The 17,446-nt window shown below is 52.1% G+C and overlaps 4 annotated features.

Annotated features, from left to right (window-relative positions):
• Positions 3,372-3,871: an enhancer, noted in NCBI's record as "H3K4me1 hESC enhancer chr11:69078345-69078844 (GRCh37/hg19 assembly coordinates)". NCBI's record gives its function as "activates a minimal SCP1, AML or CMV promoter by ChIP-STARR-seq in naive H9 embryonic stem cells {active_cell/tissue: H9 hESC(naive)}" and the evidence as "EXISTENCE:reporter gene assay evidence [ECO:0000049][PMID:30033119]".
• Positions 3,372-3,942: a biological region, named in NCBI's record as "H3K4me1 hESC enhancer GRCh37_chr11:69078345-69078844".
• Positions 3,713-3,942: an enhancer, noted in NCBI's record as "active region_5157". NCBI's record gives its function as "activates an Ori minimal core promoter by ATAC-STARR-seq in GM12878 lymphoblastoid cells {active_cell/tissue: GM12878}" and the evidence as "EXISTENCE:reporter gene assay evidence [ECO:0000049][PMID:35858748]".
• Positions 13,118-13,984: an enhancer, noted in NCBI's record as "H3K27ac-H3K4me1 hESC enhancer chr11:69088091-69088958 (GRCh37/hg19 assembly coordinates)". NCBI's record gives its function as "activates a minimal SCP1, AML or CMV promoter by ChIP-STARR-seq in naive H9 embryonic stem cells {active_cell/tissue: H9 hESC(naive)}" and the evidence as "EXISTENCE:reporter gene assay evidence [ECO:0000049][PMID:30033119]".

Raw genomic sequence — 17,446 nt, forward strand, 5'->3', positions numbered from 1 at the left:
GGGTGTGCTGGGGCAGCCCTGTGCCTGTGATTCTGGGGCCCAAGTTAGCCCCGCAGCCCATGTAGGTGGCAGAACAGCCCAGATGAGCACTGGGGCCAGAGCTGGGGCCAGCTCTCGGGGTTGTGGGGGGAAATGCTACAGGTCTTGTGCTAACCACTGAGAGACTCCCAGCCCACCTTTGCTGTTCCTTTCATCCCGGTCCCTTGGGGGGAGGTTCTGGGTCCTGCCCAACCAGGCCCAGGAGGGTTTGGGACTGGCCAAAGCAGGAGGCAGGATAGGAAGCTTCCTCTGTTCCTCTCATGGGGATCACATGCTCCCGAAATTGTCCAAGCCATCTTCCTTCTCCCAGCTCAGAGGCCATCTCTTCCAGGAGGTCCACACACATCATCCTGGCCAGGAAGAGGGTCTCCCACACCCTCTGTGCCTTGGCCGTCGTCCTCTTTATCATGTCTTGTGGATTCGTTATTTTAATCAGTTATTGGCCAAACAAACCCCTCTCACACCCGAGTGCACAGCTCGTGCCAACAGCACTGCAAAGCATGTGATGTCCCCACCCCTTCCACACGGCATTCAACACCTGACCACTCCCTGCCACAGCCCCAGTCCTCTCTGGTCCAAGCTGCCCTGGCTTCCTGCAGGGGCATCTCCATGGCCCTCGATCTGTTAACATCTGAGCCTCGACCCTGCCCTTCCTCTGCTCACCCTCCAAGGGTTCATCTCAGAGGAGGCAGCAAAGTCCTCTGCGGGCCTGCCCCTCCAACCTCATCTTGCCTCTCCCGACCCTGTTCCTCCACTCCAGCCGCTATGGCATCCCTGCAGCTGCTCATACTTTTGGGGCAGCTGATACCCCAGGCCTTTGCCCTGGCTGGGCCCTCTGCCTGTGACGCTCTTTCCCAGACACCCATGTGATTTGCTTCCTCCTCTTCTTCAAGTCTTTGCTCAAATGAAGGCCTGCACAATGAGCCTTCCCTGGCCCCCTATTTATAGTTGCCTCTCCCAATATTTTGGAGCACTTGGCACCATCTGACATGCTGGGCCTCTGTCCGTGAGCAGGCCAGCTTCTGGGTGGCAGGGATTTGGGCTGTGCATTCCCTGCTCTCACACCACTCCTACAACCATGCCTGGCACGTCATAGGAATGCCAACAAGCCATGTAGGGTGAAGGCGGGAGTAGCCCTGTGGGCTGGGTCATGCGGTCTCCTACATTGTATATGTGCAGAAGCTGCAGCCACGAGGCCTGCTTGAGGTTGCCTGGCTCTTGCTCCTGCGGGTCTGAACCCAGCTAGATGTGACTGTAAGTCCCAGCTTTCCAAAGGCTCCCACTGCCTTAGGTGCACAGTGTGCCACCTAGCACGGGAAGTGGAGCCCGCCAGGCAGCACCTGGGATACGGGCTGCTCCAGGGATGCCCTGGGAGGAGGGGATGGGGATGCATCCCAGGGAAGAGGTTCCTGGGCTATGACGGGGGTGCAACTCAGCTTCCCCTGGGGTCGGGGAGTGGGAAGACCATTCTGAGAGTGGGAACAGCTCTTGCAAACATGGCCGACATGCAGGTTGGGGCAGATTTGGTGATGAGTGCCTTGGGCCTGATTGGAGGTCCCGTGGGGGTGGGTGGCTGTGGGGCCCCCAGGCAGGGCCTGAAGCAGGCGGAGGGGGTGAGTGGGGGGTTCTGATGGGCCACTGGGAGTGGCCTGAAGTGCACTGGAGCAGGAGGTGGCATTGTCCGGATCCTGTTTGAAAGACCCCTTTTCTGATAGAAGGAGGGCAGATTGCCGGGTGAGTCAGGGGTGGTGGCAGCTATCTGGGCAGAGGCTAGTGTGGGGTGGGAGGCGTGAGGCAGATGTGAGAGCTCAAGGAGGGAGACTACATGCAGCTCAGTGACCTGGGTCTCAATGTGTTCCCAGGTTTGCAGCTGGGGCAACTGGAAGCAGGAGAGGGACCTGGAGAAAGGAAGGCAAAGAGGTGGGTTCCTTTTGGGGCACACTGAGGTTGAGCTGCTTAAGAGACTCCCACGGGTGAGGCAGAAGCCTTGAGCTGCTGGGTTAGCAGCTCCGGGCTCAGGGGAGATCTTGGCCAGAGAAAAATTCTGGGGGTCCTAGTATTCACATAGTGACTTCAGCATGGAGGGGGCAAGGTCCCTCCAGAAGCAGGTGTCTGGAGGAGAGAGGGCTATGGCCTCCACTCCAGGCCCAGCTGGCCCCTAACGGACCCTCCCGCCCGCAGCACCTGCCCTCAGGGCCACAGGGGGCTGCTGGCACCTGGCTCGCTGGGAATGCTCCAGAGGTCCCCTGTCTGCTGCTCATGATTTCACAGACTTGGCAACCAGGACAGGATTGCTATTATTTTTCACCAGAAAACAATGTATGGATTTTGGGCTCTTGCTGATGATTCTAGAGGAAAACAGCTGAGAGGATGCGTGTTTTCAAGGGAACATTCCTCTTTGGACTCGGTCCACTCAGTGTCCTCTTGGAAAACCACAGGGAGGGCTGGAAACAGTCTTAGACTCACATGAGGGGGAAAGGGAGACCAGATCCTTCTCCCAGCTCTGCTTGTGGCTCTCTGTGTGATCCCATGAAGAGAGGAGGAGCAGTGACTCTCACCTGAAATGCTCCCAGCCAAACATGGCCTAAACCAAACGGGATGGCCTCCCTGCCCCTATCCTGGTCCTCCATGGGCTGTCCCCATCTCATGGAATGGGGCCAAGCCTCACACATGGGTGTCACACGTCCTTCTGGGGATTCCTGTCCCTTGTATCTCTTGAATCAGGCTCTTAGATTCTTCTGCTTCATTCCATCATTGTAACCTCCTTCCACGACTCTCAAATCCGTCTCCTTCTCCATATCTCCACTGCCGTCCCTATGTTCCTCTCTGCCTTTGGCTCTGCACGGTACGAGCAGGTGGTCTCTGTCCAGCCAATGTGGGCCCTTTGCACACTGGTGTGAGTGCTTCTAAGTCTCGTTCCAGCTCTCAGTTCGGCCTCTCCCAATCTCCTTGTGTCTTCCCACAGCATGTGGGAAAAGACTAGGAGGACGGCACTGGGGCCACAAAGATAAGTCCATTGTCCCTGCACTCCAGGGATCTGAGCCCCGTGGGCCCCCGGCATGAGTATAATGTGGAAAGGAAGCCTGCGGAAAGGCTCCAAGAGGACGGTACGTTAGAACTGGGTCTCGAGACATGGGTGTCTGGGCCGTAGGGGTGCAGAAACCAGGTCCTGACTTGGCCTGGATGCAAGTGCCAGGGGCTGTTCTGTCTCTGTCAGCTCCAGGACCATTCAGGGGTGGCACAGAGCTTGGGAAGGAATGAATAACAGTCCTGGACATTATGCCAACATTCAGTGAGTGCCTACTGTGTGATCCAGTAGACCCTGGGTGATGTATTAACTTGCCAGTCCTCCCAGTAACCCAGATTAGTCCCAGTCTGCAGACGTGGAGGTGGAAGCTCAGAACAGTTCGGTCACTTGCTTGAGGCCACACAGCGAGGGGGGCAAAGCCAGGCCACCTGCTCCAGAGCCTAGGCATGGATGGGGGTGGAGGGGAGTCCTGAGCCGGGGGGTTCTTTGCTGCCTTTGGGCAGGGTGGGCACAGAGGTCCCAGTCTCGCTCTTGGCCACGCCGAGTGCTCCCTTCCGCTGACTGTGGCTGTAGTACCGACAGGTGTCTCTATTGATGCTACAGCCCCCACCTTTCATTGTCTCTGGGACAAAGGCTCCTCGGGCTCCTAGCTTTGGGACAAGACTGTGGCTGCTCCCTGCCATTGGCTAGGCCTCCCACTGGGGCCTCCTGCCCACTACCTCCCCATGCCTTGTGGCAAGCCTGTGAGTCAGCGTACCCATTTCACAGCAGGGACACAGAAAGCCCCTGAAACCAGGGACTTTCCCAGCACAAGAGTGTCCAAGACTAGAATCCAACTTTGTCTCGGTCCAGCCACCTGCAGAGTGACCCATGCGGATAGTTGTCAGCCCTTGCTGAGCCATCCTTTGTTTCCTGTTCATACTTTCCCATAAGTCACAGAATCCTCCAGGCAACCCAGTGATGTAGGCACTGTCACTATTCCTTCCTACAGACCTGGAAACTGAGTCACAAAAAGCAAGCTGCTTTCCCAGACCCCACTGCTCTGCTAGGTGGAGGCCAAGCTCGTGTGTGAACCCAGACCGCTGCTCTGAACTTCTCCACACCACACTGTGTAGAGGAAATAAGAGCTGGGAGACTTCTGCCTTCAGGGACTGTGTTTTTCCAAGAAGCCTGGAGGAAAGGATCTAACATTTATTGAGCACCTACTAAGTGCTGGCTGATCTCATAGCATTACTTTGCAAAGTGAATATTCTTCATCTTATTTTATAGATGAGGAAATGAGACTCAAGGAAGCAATATTGACTTGTTCCAGGTCGCCTAGCTAGTGAGGACGCGAGGAGAGGCAAGACTCTCCCCAGCCTGGGACCCCAGGGACCCTGCTAGTGAGGACGCCTGCTCCAAGCCTGGCCCCTCCAGGGAGGCTAGCTCTCACTAGCAGGGCAGCCTCCTTCCTTCTCCCTCCTTCCCGCCTCGGGAGAATTAAGTGGTAAATGTTTTCAAAGTCAACTGTCAAAAGAAAATGGTTAGAGGAAGGAAATGTGCAATTAGGAGCTTCAGAGTAATTTTCATCGTGTGGTTTGAGCTCGACTGTAAACACTCAGGAAGGAGAGAACGCGGCTGTTTCCCCCCCGGCTGGTTTCCTGCCAACTCTGCTGAGTCCCAGAACCGGGTGGGCTCCAGGCTGAGGCACTAGCAGGGAGGCCGGTGGGCAGCCAGCCTTGGACTGGGGAGGTGCTGGGGGCTGTGGGACACTCCCATTCCCAAGAGAAGCTTCTTCCAGCAGAATGTGCCGGCATTACAGAAAGGAAATATTAACATTATAATTATAATTCTGTTTATTTAATTAAGTTATTAAACAGGCCCAGCTTGGGGCGGGGCAGGGGGGAGAAAAAAAAAAAAACAACCCATAGTTTCATTCTAATTGTTTCTCCCAGGATGTAATTAGAGCCTTATAGAAGGAGTCAGAGCCAGAGAAGGCAGGGGCTCTGCCAGGCTGGGTCCAGGCCTGGTGCACAGCTCCGGGCAGGCTGGGCCTGGGGGAGTGGAAGGTAGAGGCTGGCTGTGGGAATGCAGCCTCTATGAGGGCTGGAACTCAGGCCTGTGTCCCCATGCCTGGCATGTACTAGGTGCTCAAGAAATAGTTGTGGAATAATTGCCTAGTGGACTTTGAGCAAGCAGAAAGGGCTGGTGGAGTGACTTTCTCAGCTGCCCTAAAGACATTCAGCAGATGATTTTTCTAGAAGGGATGCAGCAGCCTCCTCCTGGGGCTGCTCTTGGCCATTACCTCTGCTCTGACCTCCCTGGTGGCCCACCGTGGCTTGCAGGTGACCACACCGAGCAGCCTGTCTTAGATTGAGACCTTCACCTCTTCCTTCTGTGCCCTGGTCACTGTGGGCTGAGCCCTGGGGCAGAACAAACAAATGTCACCAGCTCCCAGGCTCCAGTGTGGAGGCTGCCCCTGTGCATCCCAAAGGGACGGGAGTATGAGGGCCCCAAAGGGTTCAGGAGGCTAAAACCCCTACTCCAGGTCCCCCAGTCTGAGAAGCCCTTTCTGGGACCTTGGACCAGGCCCAGCAGAGCCCCTCTTGAGGGGGCCAAGGGAGGCGCTGGCCCTGAACAGCCTCCAGATCCGGTCCTGTGCCCCTCGCGCTGACAGCTGCCCACAGGCTCCATGCAGAACCTCCCGTCAGACGGGAAGTGTCTTGTTCCAGCTGGCACGGCTTTATCGAACAGTCCTGGCTTTGTAAGTGTGGACAGCTGCGGGGAGAGGAGCTGGCTCTGGGGAGGTGTGGGGGCCGGGTCGGGGGCTAGACTGGGGAAGCTGAGGAGTGGGAGGTCAAAGCCAGCAGCATCTGCAAGTGGGTTGGGGGCCATGAAGGTTTGGTTTAGGGGGCATCCCCTGGAAAGCCGAGCCCCTAAACAGGAAGATGGGATGGGAGGCCAAATTGGGGAATGACCATGAAAGAGAGAGAGGTGTGTGGGGGGGAAGATGGGAGGGGCTGACGTGGCCTCCAGCGCTTGCTCAGCTCTGGTACAGTCAAGAAGCTGTCTTCATATGGGCCACACTGAGGCACCACAAAACCAACAACTTCAGAGAGATGGTAGGGCTTCTATATGCCACCTACCCACCCATCCACCCATTCACCCACTCATCCACCCACACATCCATCCATCCATCCATCCATCCACCCATCCACCCATCCATCCATCCATCCATCCATCCATCCATCCATCCATCCATTCATCCATCCATCCATCCATCCATCCATCCATCCATCCATCCATTCATCCATCCATTCGTCCATCCACGCATCCATTCATCCATCCATCCATCCATCCATTCATCCATCCATCCCCCCCATCCATCTAACCACTCATTCACACACACACACATATCCATCCATCCATCCATCCATCCACCCATCCATCCATCCACCCATCCATCCATCCACTCATTCGCCCATCCATCCACCCACCCATCCACCCATTGGTCCATCCATCCACCCATCCATCCATCCATCCATCCATCCACCCACCCTTCGGACTCATCCACTCATCCATCCACCCCTCCTTGTACCCATCCATCTACTAGTACATCTATCCATCCATCCATCCATCCATCCATCCATCCATCCATTCATCCATTCACCCATCCATCCACTAATTCATCCATCCATCCATCCATCCATTCATCCACTCAACCATCCATCCTTCCATCCATCCAACATTCATACAAGACTTGCACTAGGGCACATCTTCTACTGGCCTCCAAAGACCCAGAAAATAATCAAATTGTCCCTGCCCTGTTGGGCATATATAGACACTTCCAGTGTGTATATATGAGCAGTGGAGGCAGGGGAGACAGAAGACAAATAAATCCCCCTGATAGGTCAGGAAACTTCTATAACTAAGAAGATGTAAACCCACCCACTCACCCTAAGCCTCAATTTCTCATCTGAAAAGTGGGGATAAGGTAGTGCAATGGTGAACTGCTATAGTGTTAGATGAGATGATAGACACAAGGTATTTGTTACTGTGCCTGGCATGGAAGGTGCTAAGTAACTGTTATGATTATTTTTAGCATCACCATTTCCATCATTATTCTCTCTGTCTGAAGAGAATAGGAGGATGAGAGTGGGCAGTTTAGGAAAGCCTTCTCAAGTGGGGTCATTTGGACTGGGTGTTGAAGGATGAGTAGGAGTTCATTGGGTACTAGTATTGTGCTTCCCCACTAGCAGCCCACATTCATACTACACTCATCCCTGCCTTTGCATCATACTTCTCACCCTTACTCCTCCTCCCCAAGGCCCCCTTCCTTTAGGTCCACCTCTAACCCTAACTCCTCCAGGAAGACTTCTTGCCTACCCCAGGCATTATCTTGCTCCTTCCTCTTGTCTTGTGGCACAAAGATCACACCACACATCAGGCCCTCAGAACTTCATTCTGAATTTTGAAATGCTTCAGCTGACTCTTCAGGATGGGGCAGAGTCTTCTCCTCAAATCCCTTATATCTGGAGCCTCAGAGCTGGATAAATTTGTTGACTCTGCCCCAGGGGACAGCCAACAGTGACCAGGGCACAGAAGAAAGAGGTGAAGGTCTAAATCTAAGTCCCAAGAAGGTGTAGACCTATCTACAAACAGGAGCAGCCTCCTAGGACTTTGCCTGCATCTGCCTACAAGGTTAATGCAGTTCCTACCTGGAGCAGCTCACAGTATAAGGAACAGAGGGAAGAGGAGGACAAGGCTGGGAGTTTCTCTAGCATAGATTTCATGTCCTGGTTAAACTTGGGTCTTCAGCACCAAGCACAGAGTGGGGGCTAAGAATCATTGGATGGATGGGTATGTAGGTGTATGTGTATGGTTAGAAGGATGCATGGAAGGATAAGTACATGGATGGATATATGGATGGATGGATGGATAATGGTTGGATAAATGGATGATGGATAACTGAATAGGTGGGTGGATGGGTGATGGATGGACAGTTGGATGTGTGGATGATGGACAGATGATTAGATGAATAAGTGGAAAGTTAAACAATACAACTAGAATCTTTAGATTCTGATTAAACCATAGAAGCAGGAACTTTGAGACTGTATAGATCAACCCAAATTAATTTACCTGATCAGTGCTTCTGAGTGTCTCTTTTTGCCAGATATTGTATGAGGTGCTGGGGATACCACAGGGAACAAGATACAATCCATGACCTCATGGAGCTTGGCATCTAGTTGAGAAGCTAGGAAATATGCAAATAAAGCCCAAACAAAATGTTTTAAAGGTGATGACTGCCTGAAGCTTACTGGGGGGCACTTTAGTTAGGGGCATCAGGGAGAGTTGATGAGAGGATAAGATTGGAACTGAGGACTGAATGGCAAGAGTCAGCTGTATGAAGATCTGGGGAAGACATGAGAACAGTAAGTGCACTGGTCCTGAGGCAGGAGCAAAGTTGGACTTGTTCAATAATGTAAAAAGATTTGAGTACTTGGAGTGGAATAAGAGAGGGAGCTGTGGCCTGAAATAGCAATAGAGAAACAGGACAGGGCAGATCACACTGGACTTTGTAGGCCATGGCCAGAGGCATGGATTTTGTTCTGTGTAGGTTGGAAGGCACAGGAGGGTGTTAAACAGGAGGAGGAATGGTCTGAGTTCTGTAAAGGATCACTGTGGCTACTCCATGGGGCTATACAGAAAGGCACGTGAGGGGAAAGCAGGAAGGCAGTGAGAGGGCATCACCATGGACCAGGCTAGAGAGGGAGGTAGTGCAGCTGGGGAGATGGGGCAGGTTCAGGACATGTTTGAAGGCACAGACAACAGAGTTGATTTATGATTTGGCTGTTGGGGAGAAGGATGCTTCCCAGCCGTTTCACCTCAGCAACTGGACTGGCCTAACCCTAACCGTAACCCTAACCCTAGCTGCCACCCACCCCCTACTCCTCTGCTGAGACTCACTGGAGCCTTGACCTCCCAGGTTCAAATGATCCTACCACCAATTGCTATGGTGATAGAGTTGTTGTTTCTGATGATGGTGGCTGTGGTAGTGGTTTATTTCCTCCATCAGCAGGCTCTTCCACCATGACAATGAGCCATTTCCAGCCATTTTCAGGGACTCTGGAAGAAATTGGCTTGAAGAACAGCTGGACACACATCCAGTCTCAGAGCCTAGAGGTGAAGCACACGGACTCTGGAGTCAGAGAGACCTATGTTTGAATCCTGGTCCTACCACTTTCTCTCTCATCCTTATGTTAGTCACTTGACTTCTTTAGGTCTCTGTGTTGTCACCTGGAAAATGGAACTTTCCACCTCCTCGGGATGTTATGATGATAGATGTAACAAGCTCAGCACAGTGCCTGTACAGGTGAGAGCTCAGATAAAGACTCTGCTGTTAACAATTACCTCTCCTCTGATGGGGAGTTTATCACCCCATCTCAGCAGCCCTGCTCCTGTTCCTAGTTCCAACAGGCCCTGGGAACTGGGTTGCCAAGACCAGCTCCTGACAGCTGCCACCCACCCCCTACACTCCTCTGCTGAGGTTCCGGAGCCTAGGGGCATGGGGCATTGCGAAGGCCTCACTGGGTTTAGAATCGAGCAAGATTATAGAGCACATTTTGCAAGAGTGGGAGGAGGTGGAAGTAGCCCAATTCATAGTAGCTTTCCCAACCCGTGGCTCTAATTGGCAGAGAACATCCCCTAAGGCACCTCTATGCTCCATGAGGAGCTTGTAATTAATAGGTGGGGATCCTGAGGGGCAAGGTTGACAAGGCTATGCTTGGGGGATGGAGCCCTCTGAGGGACGGGATTGAAAGGGTGTTTGCAGTCACATAGCCTGTCTAGGGATCAGTGTTTGTTTGTTTGTTTGTTTGGTTGGTTGGTTGGTTTTACCTCCCCAGTGGGGCATAGGCTGAAGTAAGGATCACACCAGTGTCCACAGGCTTCCTGCATGAGTTCCTCCATCCTTACCTCTGTACTGATGACTTGCAGACCTCTCTCCCAGCCTGGCCTCCCTCCTGAATTTCAGAGTCATGTCTCCCAGTGTATGTGTTAATGTCTCTGTTTGGATACCCTACAGACATCATGGTGTGTTTCAAACTAAGGAATTCATTATCTCATTCAGTGACTTTTTCATTTCAGTTGTTATTTTCAGTTCTAGAATTTCCATTTGGTTCTTTTGATTGTAGTTTTTGTTTCTCTGCTTAGAGTCCTTATCTGCTCCCTTATGACAATCATATTTTCCATTAATTTGTCAAGCATATTTTTCTCTAACTTTTTTGGACATATTTATTATTGCTGCTTTGAATGATTTTTCTGCCAAATCTGTTATTCGGGCTATGTCAGGATTGGTTTCTACGGATGGTTTTTGGTTTTCCTTTTGCCTATGAGTCATGTTTTCCTGTTTCTTTGTGTGTTTGATAATTGTTGGATTATATTTTGGACCTTGTGGGTGATAAGTTGCAGAAACTCTGGATTCTGATATCCTGCTCTGAAAAGGGTTGATTTTTATTCCAGGAGGCATTTCAATTACTGGTGGATTACTTGAGTGTGTGTAGTCTTGGTCTTATTATTTGTTATGGCTGATCTGTGGGAAGCCTAATGTGTTTCCCAAATTTCTCTCAACTTGGTGAGCATCCAGCTCCAATATGCAAATCTTTTTGAGGCTTAGTTCTAAAGGCTTTGTTAGAGAAGATCTACAGCAGGCTTTACTCAAGGATGTGGACCTTATTACTAAGATGAGGCTTTTCTGGCCTTGCAGATAGATGCCTGCTGTGTTAATGAGTTCTCTGTACTCTGGTTAGGAAAGAACTCCAAAGTCCCCGAGCACTGCTTGACATCTGGAATCTCTGTTTCACTCTCAACGTTATAGGAGTCATTCTTCATTAAGCCTGAGGTGGTCTCACCAGCAGGCAGGGCCCCTCAGCTGGACTTCTTCCTCCTTCCCCTATGCAGCTCCCTCTTCTCCAAGGCCCTGCCTTGAAGATTCTAGGTGCTTCAGTGATACAGGTTGAATGTTTGTACCCTACTAATCTCATGCTGAAAGGTAATCCCCAGTGTTTGAGGTGGGGCCTGGTGGGAGGTGTTTGGATCATGGGGGTGGATCCTTCATGAATGACTTAGTGCCATCCCCTTAGTGATGAGTGAGTTCATGTGAGATCTTGTTTAAAAGTGTGTGGCACCTGCCCCTTCTCTCTCTTGCTTCTGCTCTTGCATGTGACATACCTGTTCCCACTTCACCTTCCACCATGACTGGAAGCTTCCTGAGGCCCTCACCAGAAGCACATGCCAGCACTACACTTCCTGTACACCCAGCAGAACAGTGAGCCAATTAAACCTCTTTTCTTTATAAATTACCCACTCTCGGGTATTCCTTTATAGTAAAGCAATGGACCAACACATTCAGCTATTCCAGACTCTAGTCTCTGTCCGCTCTGAACACAGTGTGAGGGCCATTGTATTCAATGTGGATCCCAGCTCACTGCACCCTGATTGTGAATTTGTCCCCAAGCACAGATCCAGGGAGATCATGGGGCTCATCTCATATTTTTTTCTTCTTCTTTTGGGGATTGAAAGCTTGTTCTGTCAGGGATACAATGTTGGCCTTCTGTATTCTGTCCAGTCTTCTGATTGCTTATAGCTTAAGTTACTATGCCATGACCAGACATGAGCAATGCATATCTTTACCCAAAACCTTCCTCTCTCATATTCTTCATTCACTCATTTCTCCAAAATAGAATCTTTGCCACCGCCCTCTCTATCACTCCCTATGGGCGATTCATCAGCAAAATTGGCTCCTTTGACATTTCACTGGAGCCCTTGAGTCTGTCAAACTTTCCTTCTCTCCTCCCCTTGCCCAGGTCCAGGTCACTGCCTGTCTTCACTAGGACCAACCAACTGCCTCCTCGCTGGCCGCCAGCCTCCAGTCTTGCTCTGTTCTGGTCCATTCCCCACCCAGCAGCCAGAGGCCCCCTTTAAACCTACAGATCTGATGTTGGCTGTGCCTTACATAAAGCCCTGAAGTTGTAGTCTTGGCTGGCAAAATTCTTGAAATCTGCAACCCCCACCTAGCTCTGTCCCCCTTTTATTGTCACTTCCCCACATTCCTGCCACATGGATCTATTTGCAACTCCTAGATGCCATCAGACCACCTGTTGTCTGGGAGCCCTTGCTCCAAGTGTGACTGCTGTCCCTGGATATTCTGTCTAGCAAGGTTTCCAGTGTAGTCCATTGTCACCCACACTGGGTGGCCTTCAAGGCCGAGTGAGGCCTTTCTCTATGTGCAGGCACAGTGCCTGTGTTTCCTCCCTCAGCAGGCTCTGAGCTCCGCTAAAGCAGAAAGGGAGGTGGGTTCACCGCACTTCCCAGAGCCTGGAGGACACGCTCCCTTACTGTCTGACGAGGGAGTCAATGTCAAAGGCTACAGAGGGGCAGGAAGGCGGAGGTGTTTGTGCACCACGATGCTGGACGTGGAGCCTGGGGACTTCCCAACATGGATGCAAGCTCTGCAGAGGGAAGGGGTGCTCTACAGGCTGACCACTGGCAACGACTCTGGGCGTTCTGCTGGCACCCACAGGGACAGTGGTGGTGAGTTCTGCTCCTTGCAAGAAGGCAGTGAGCACAGCCCAGGATGAAGGGGTGCGTGTAGATGGGGCCATGTGCACGTTGGTCCCCAGAGATACTTCCAGGGCCACCTGCAACCCCCTGAGGACCCCCAGACCTGCTGGAAGACCTGAGATTGGAAGGATTTCATGCTCCCCCTGGCCGCTGCCTCCTGTCTCCCCCACTTTGGCCACCTATCACCCCATCCAGTGGTACCCTCCTTTGGTGGGTAACTCCAGCAGAGACCTCAACTTTCTATGCTTTTCAACCTCCGGCCTCAGGGCGCGTTGCAGGAGTCCCCAAACCAAGGGCGTTTCTCCTTCTCGCCACCAACTTCCCACCCCTGGGAAAGTCCACATTCCTGAGCCAGACATTCACCCGGGGGAATCATTACCCAGTGCCCTGTGTGCAGATGCCAGGGCAGCGGGTGTCCTTCCTCCCCAGGGCTGCATCCTTCCCCTGCAGACTGCACAGGGTGCCCCCAGCCTGCCTCCCCAAAAGTCTTAGGTAACTGTTGGGTCTCTCACTCTAACACCCACATAAGTTGGGTCTGGATAAACCACAATGCGGGATCCTTCAGGGGATGGAGACAGTAGCTGAGGAAAAGAAAGAGAAGTGGGACTCAGGAGAGTGGTAGGGAGACACAGGCCATGAGTGAGGCAGGGAGAGAGTGAGAGGTGTGGACGGACCCTCTGTCAATCCCAGAGGTAACGCTGACCACCCCCAGGGCAGGGCAGGAGCCAAGAGACAAGAAGAGAGGAACCCGGGGAGCGTTTCAGCCCAAGCTGAGGAGGCCCCAAGAGTCCCTGCACCCCAGGAGTTCTGTGGGTGTCCAGGGCAAGAACCCCTGTGCCGGAAATGCCTTCTTTTGCCCCTCCAGGCCTGCCCTCTGCTCTGCTCTCTGCTTCAGGGGCTAAGCCCGATGGACTCATTCCTCAGCTCCCATGCCCTCTGGCTTCCTTTTGGGAGTGCCCCAGCTGTAGGTGAAAGGGAGAGGGGAGGGTGAAGTCAGAATATTCATGTCACAGCATCGAAAGCTTTGGGGTCACTTTGGGCAGGCTGTGTCCCTAGACTGAAGGTCTTAAGCTTCTCCCAAGGCAGGCCCCTCTCCAACATTCCCTCCTTTCCAGGTTCTGGCATGGCTTATGCCTTCCCTTAAACCTTCAGCCTCAGGGTGGCCGCAGCCCTGGGGCATGGACTGTGGTGCACTGCCTGCCCCTATGGTTTCCCTGTACCCAGTAGTTTTCCCAACTTGAGTCATTCTTTCCTAGTGGAAACCTGACACTTCCCCATTCTGTGGCAGCCTAGGAGGGTGGTCTGTACCCCAGAGAGGCCTCTAGCTGTGATGTGCCACTGCCTCCCTATGCAGGAGGCTTTGATGGGGTACACTCTAAACACCCCCAGGACGACCCAGGCATCCTCCTGGAAAGCTGGGTGCAAGCCAGAGCAGGGCTCCCAGGTCCATGAGGGTGCAGCAGATGGAAGGCCAGCCCGGTGACCATGTGGTGATAGCACAGGGCAATGATGACTGGAGGCTCTAGGGTCACAGGGATTTTGGTTCAAGTTCTGCCTCTACCTGTTACTCATTGTGCACCCTTGGGGTGCCCCACATCATCTCTCTGAGGCTCAGTTCCACCTAGAGTTCTATACAGAATTCAGCAAGAAGCCGAGTGTGCAGCCCCCAGCCCCAGCTCCAGCGCACAGTGGCCCCAGCACACACTGATGGGGCACGTTTTCCCAGCTGCCCTGTTGGTTTTCCTCAGTGAATCGCTGCTGAGTCAGTTAGCAGGTCCCCAAAGTAGAAACTTTGTCAGATCCCAAAGAATGTCAGCCCCAGTGACTCACGTGTGTTTCTCCCAAAAACACAATCGCAGGCCTTTGGGATCAGCTCAGCCATCTCTGAGACATTTCAATGCTGTGAGCAGGATGCTGGGTTCCGGCCACAAAAGAGCTGGGTGCAAGCCTGGTCTCCATGAAAGGAGTTCCCACTTGGAAAATCTGATTCAATTGACTTCTCCCTTTCAGTTTAGCTTCACAGTTCCCTGGCTATGTCTACATCTAAGAACTATGGCTCCATGATGAATTGCCTGGCAGATGGTGGTTGTGATGTTTGTGTTGTTGCTATGGTGATGGAGTTGCTGTTTCTGATGGTGGTGATCCTGGCAGTGGTGGTGGGTTATTTCTAAGGGTGATAGTGGGGTGGTGATGTGGTGGTGATGGTGACAGTGTGGTAGCATTGGGTGGTGATGGTGGTGCTGATGGACACGGTGGTGAGGAGGTAGTTATGGTGATAGGATTTTGATAGTGCTGGGGGTGGAGTTGATGATGGTGATGGTAATGGTGGTGTTGTTTTCGGTGCTGATTGTGATGAGGTGATGGTGGTAATAGCAGTAGTACTGGCAATGCTGGTGGTGGTAGTGGATTGTTGGTGGCGGTGGTGGGATTGGTGCTCTTCATGGTGATAGTGGAGGTGGTCAGGATGGTGGAGGTGGAGGTGATGGTTTCAGTGATGGTACTGGTGAAGATGGAGGTGATGGTTTTAGTGATGGTGATGCTGGAGGTGGGGGTGATGGTTTTGATGATGTTAGTGGTGGAGGTGGGGGTGATATTTTTGTGAATTGTCGTGGTAGTGATGGTGGTGGTAGAGGTGGAGGTGATGATTTTGGTGGTGGTGGTGGTGATGTTGGCAGTGGAAGTGGGAGTGATGGTGGTGATGGAGGTGGCAGTGATAGTTTTGTGGATGGTGATGGTGGTGGCGGTGGTGGTAGTGGTGAAAGTGGAGGTGATGGGCTTAGTGATGGTGGTGGTGGAGGTGGGGGTGATTGTTTTGGTGATGGTGGTGATGATGATGTTGGCAGTGGAGTAGAGGTGATAGTTTTAGTGATGGTGGTGGTGGAGGTGGGAATAATGATTTTGGTGATGATAGTGGAGGTGGGGGTGATGGTTTTGGTGATGGTGGTGGTGGTGGTGATGGTGATATTGGTGGTGGAGGTGGAGGTAATGATTTTAGTGATGATGGTGATGGTGATGGTGGTGGTGGAGATGGGGATGATGGTTATAGTGATGGTGATGGTGATGTTGGAGGTGGGGGTGATAGTTTTGGTTATGGTGGTGGTGGTGGTGATGGTGATGTTGGTGGTGGAGATGGAGGTAATGATTTTAGCGATGGTGATGGTGGTGGAGATGGGGGTGCTGGTTTTAGTGATGATGATGGTGGAGGTGATGGTTTTGGTTATGGCGGTGGTGGTAGTGGAGGTAGGGGTGATGGTTTTGGTGGTCGTGGTGGTGGTGATGATGATGGTGATGTTGGTGGTGGAGGTGGAGGTAGTGATTTTAATGATGGTGATGGTGGTGGAAATTGGGGTGATAGTTTTAGTGATGATGATGGTGGGGTGATGGTTTTGGTTATGGTGGTGGTGGTGATGGTGATGTTAGTGGTGGAGGTAGAGGTGATAGTTTTAGTGATGTGATGAAGGTGATGGTTTTAGTGATGCTAGTGTTAATGATGGTGATGGTGGTGGTGGAGGTGGAAGTGATGATTTGGGTGGTGGTGGTGGTGGAGGTGGGGATGATGGTTTTGGTGGTCATGGTGGTGGTGGTGGTGATGGTGATGTTGGTGGTGGAGGTGGAGGTAATGATTTTAGTGATAGTGATGGTGATGGTGGTGGAGATGGGGGTGATGGTTTTAGTGATGATGATGGTGGGGATGATGGTTTTGGTTATGGTGGCGGTGGTAGTGGAGGTGGGGGTGATGGTTTTGGTTATGGTGGTGGTGGTGATGTGATGTTAGTGGTGGAGGTGGAGGTGACAGTTTTAGTGATGTGGTGGTGGGGTTGATGGTTTTAGTGATGCTAGTGTTAATGATGGTGATGGTGGTGGTAGAGGTGGAAGTAATGATTTTGGTGGTGGTGGAGGTGAGGGTGATGGTTTTGGTGATGGTGGTGGTGGTGGTGATGGTGATGTTGGTGGTGGAGGTGAAAGTGATGGTTTTGGTGGTGGTGGTGGAGGTAGGGGTGATGGTTTTGGTGATGGTGGTGGTGATGATGTTGGTGGTGGAGGTGGAGGTAATGATTTTAGTGATAGTGATGGTGGTGGAGATGGGGGTGATGGTTTTAGTGATGATGATGGTCGGGGTGATGGTTTTGGTTATGGTGGTAGTGGTAGTGGAGGTAGGGGTGATGGTTTTGGTGGTCGTGGTGGTGGTGGTGGTGGTGGTGATGGTGATGTTGGTGGTGGAGGTGGAGGTAGTGATTTTAGTGATGGTGATGGTGATGGTGGTGCAGATGGGGGTGACAGTTTTAGTGATGATGATGGTGGGGTGATGGTTTTGGTTATGGTGGTGGTGATGGTGATGTTAGTGGTAGAGGTGATAGTTTTAGTGATGTGGTGGTGGAAGTGATGGTTTTAGTGATGCTAGTGTTAATGATGGTGATGGTGGTGGAGGTGGAAGTGATGATTTTGGTGGTGGTGGTGGTGGAGGTGTGGGTGATAGTTTTGGTGATAGTGGTGGTGGTGGTGATGGTGATGTTGGTGGTGGAGGTGAAAGTGATGGTTTTGGTTGTGGTGGTGGAGGTAGGGGTGATGGTTTTGGTGGTGGTGGTGGTGGTGATGGTGATGTTGGTGGTGGAGGTGGATGTAGTGATTTTAGTGATGTTGATGGTGATGGTGGTGGAGATGGGGGTGATAGTTTTAGTGATGATGATGGTGGGGGTGATGGTTATGGTGGTGGTGGGGATGGTGACATTAGTGGTGGAGGTGATAATTTTAGTGATGTGGTGGTGGAGTTGATGGTTT

This window comes from Homo sapiens, chromosome 11 (assembly GCF_000001405.40).
Source record: "Homo sapiens chromosome 11, GRCh38.p14 Primary Assembly".
Classification (NCBI taxonomy): Eukaryota; Metazoa; Chordata; class Mammalia; order Primates; family Hominidae; genus Homo; species Homo sapiens.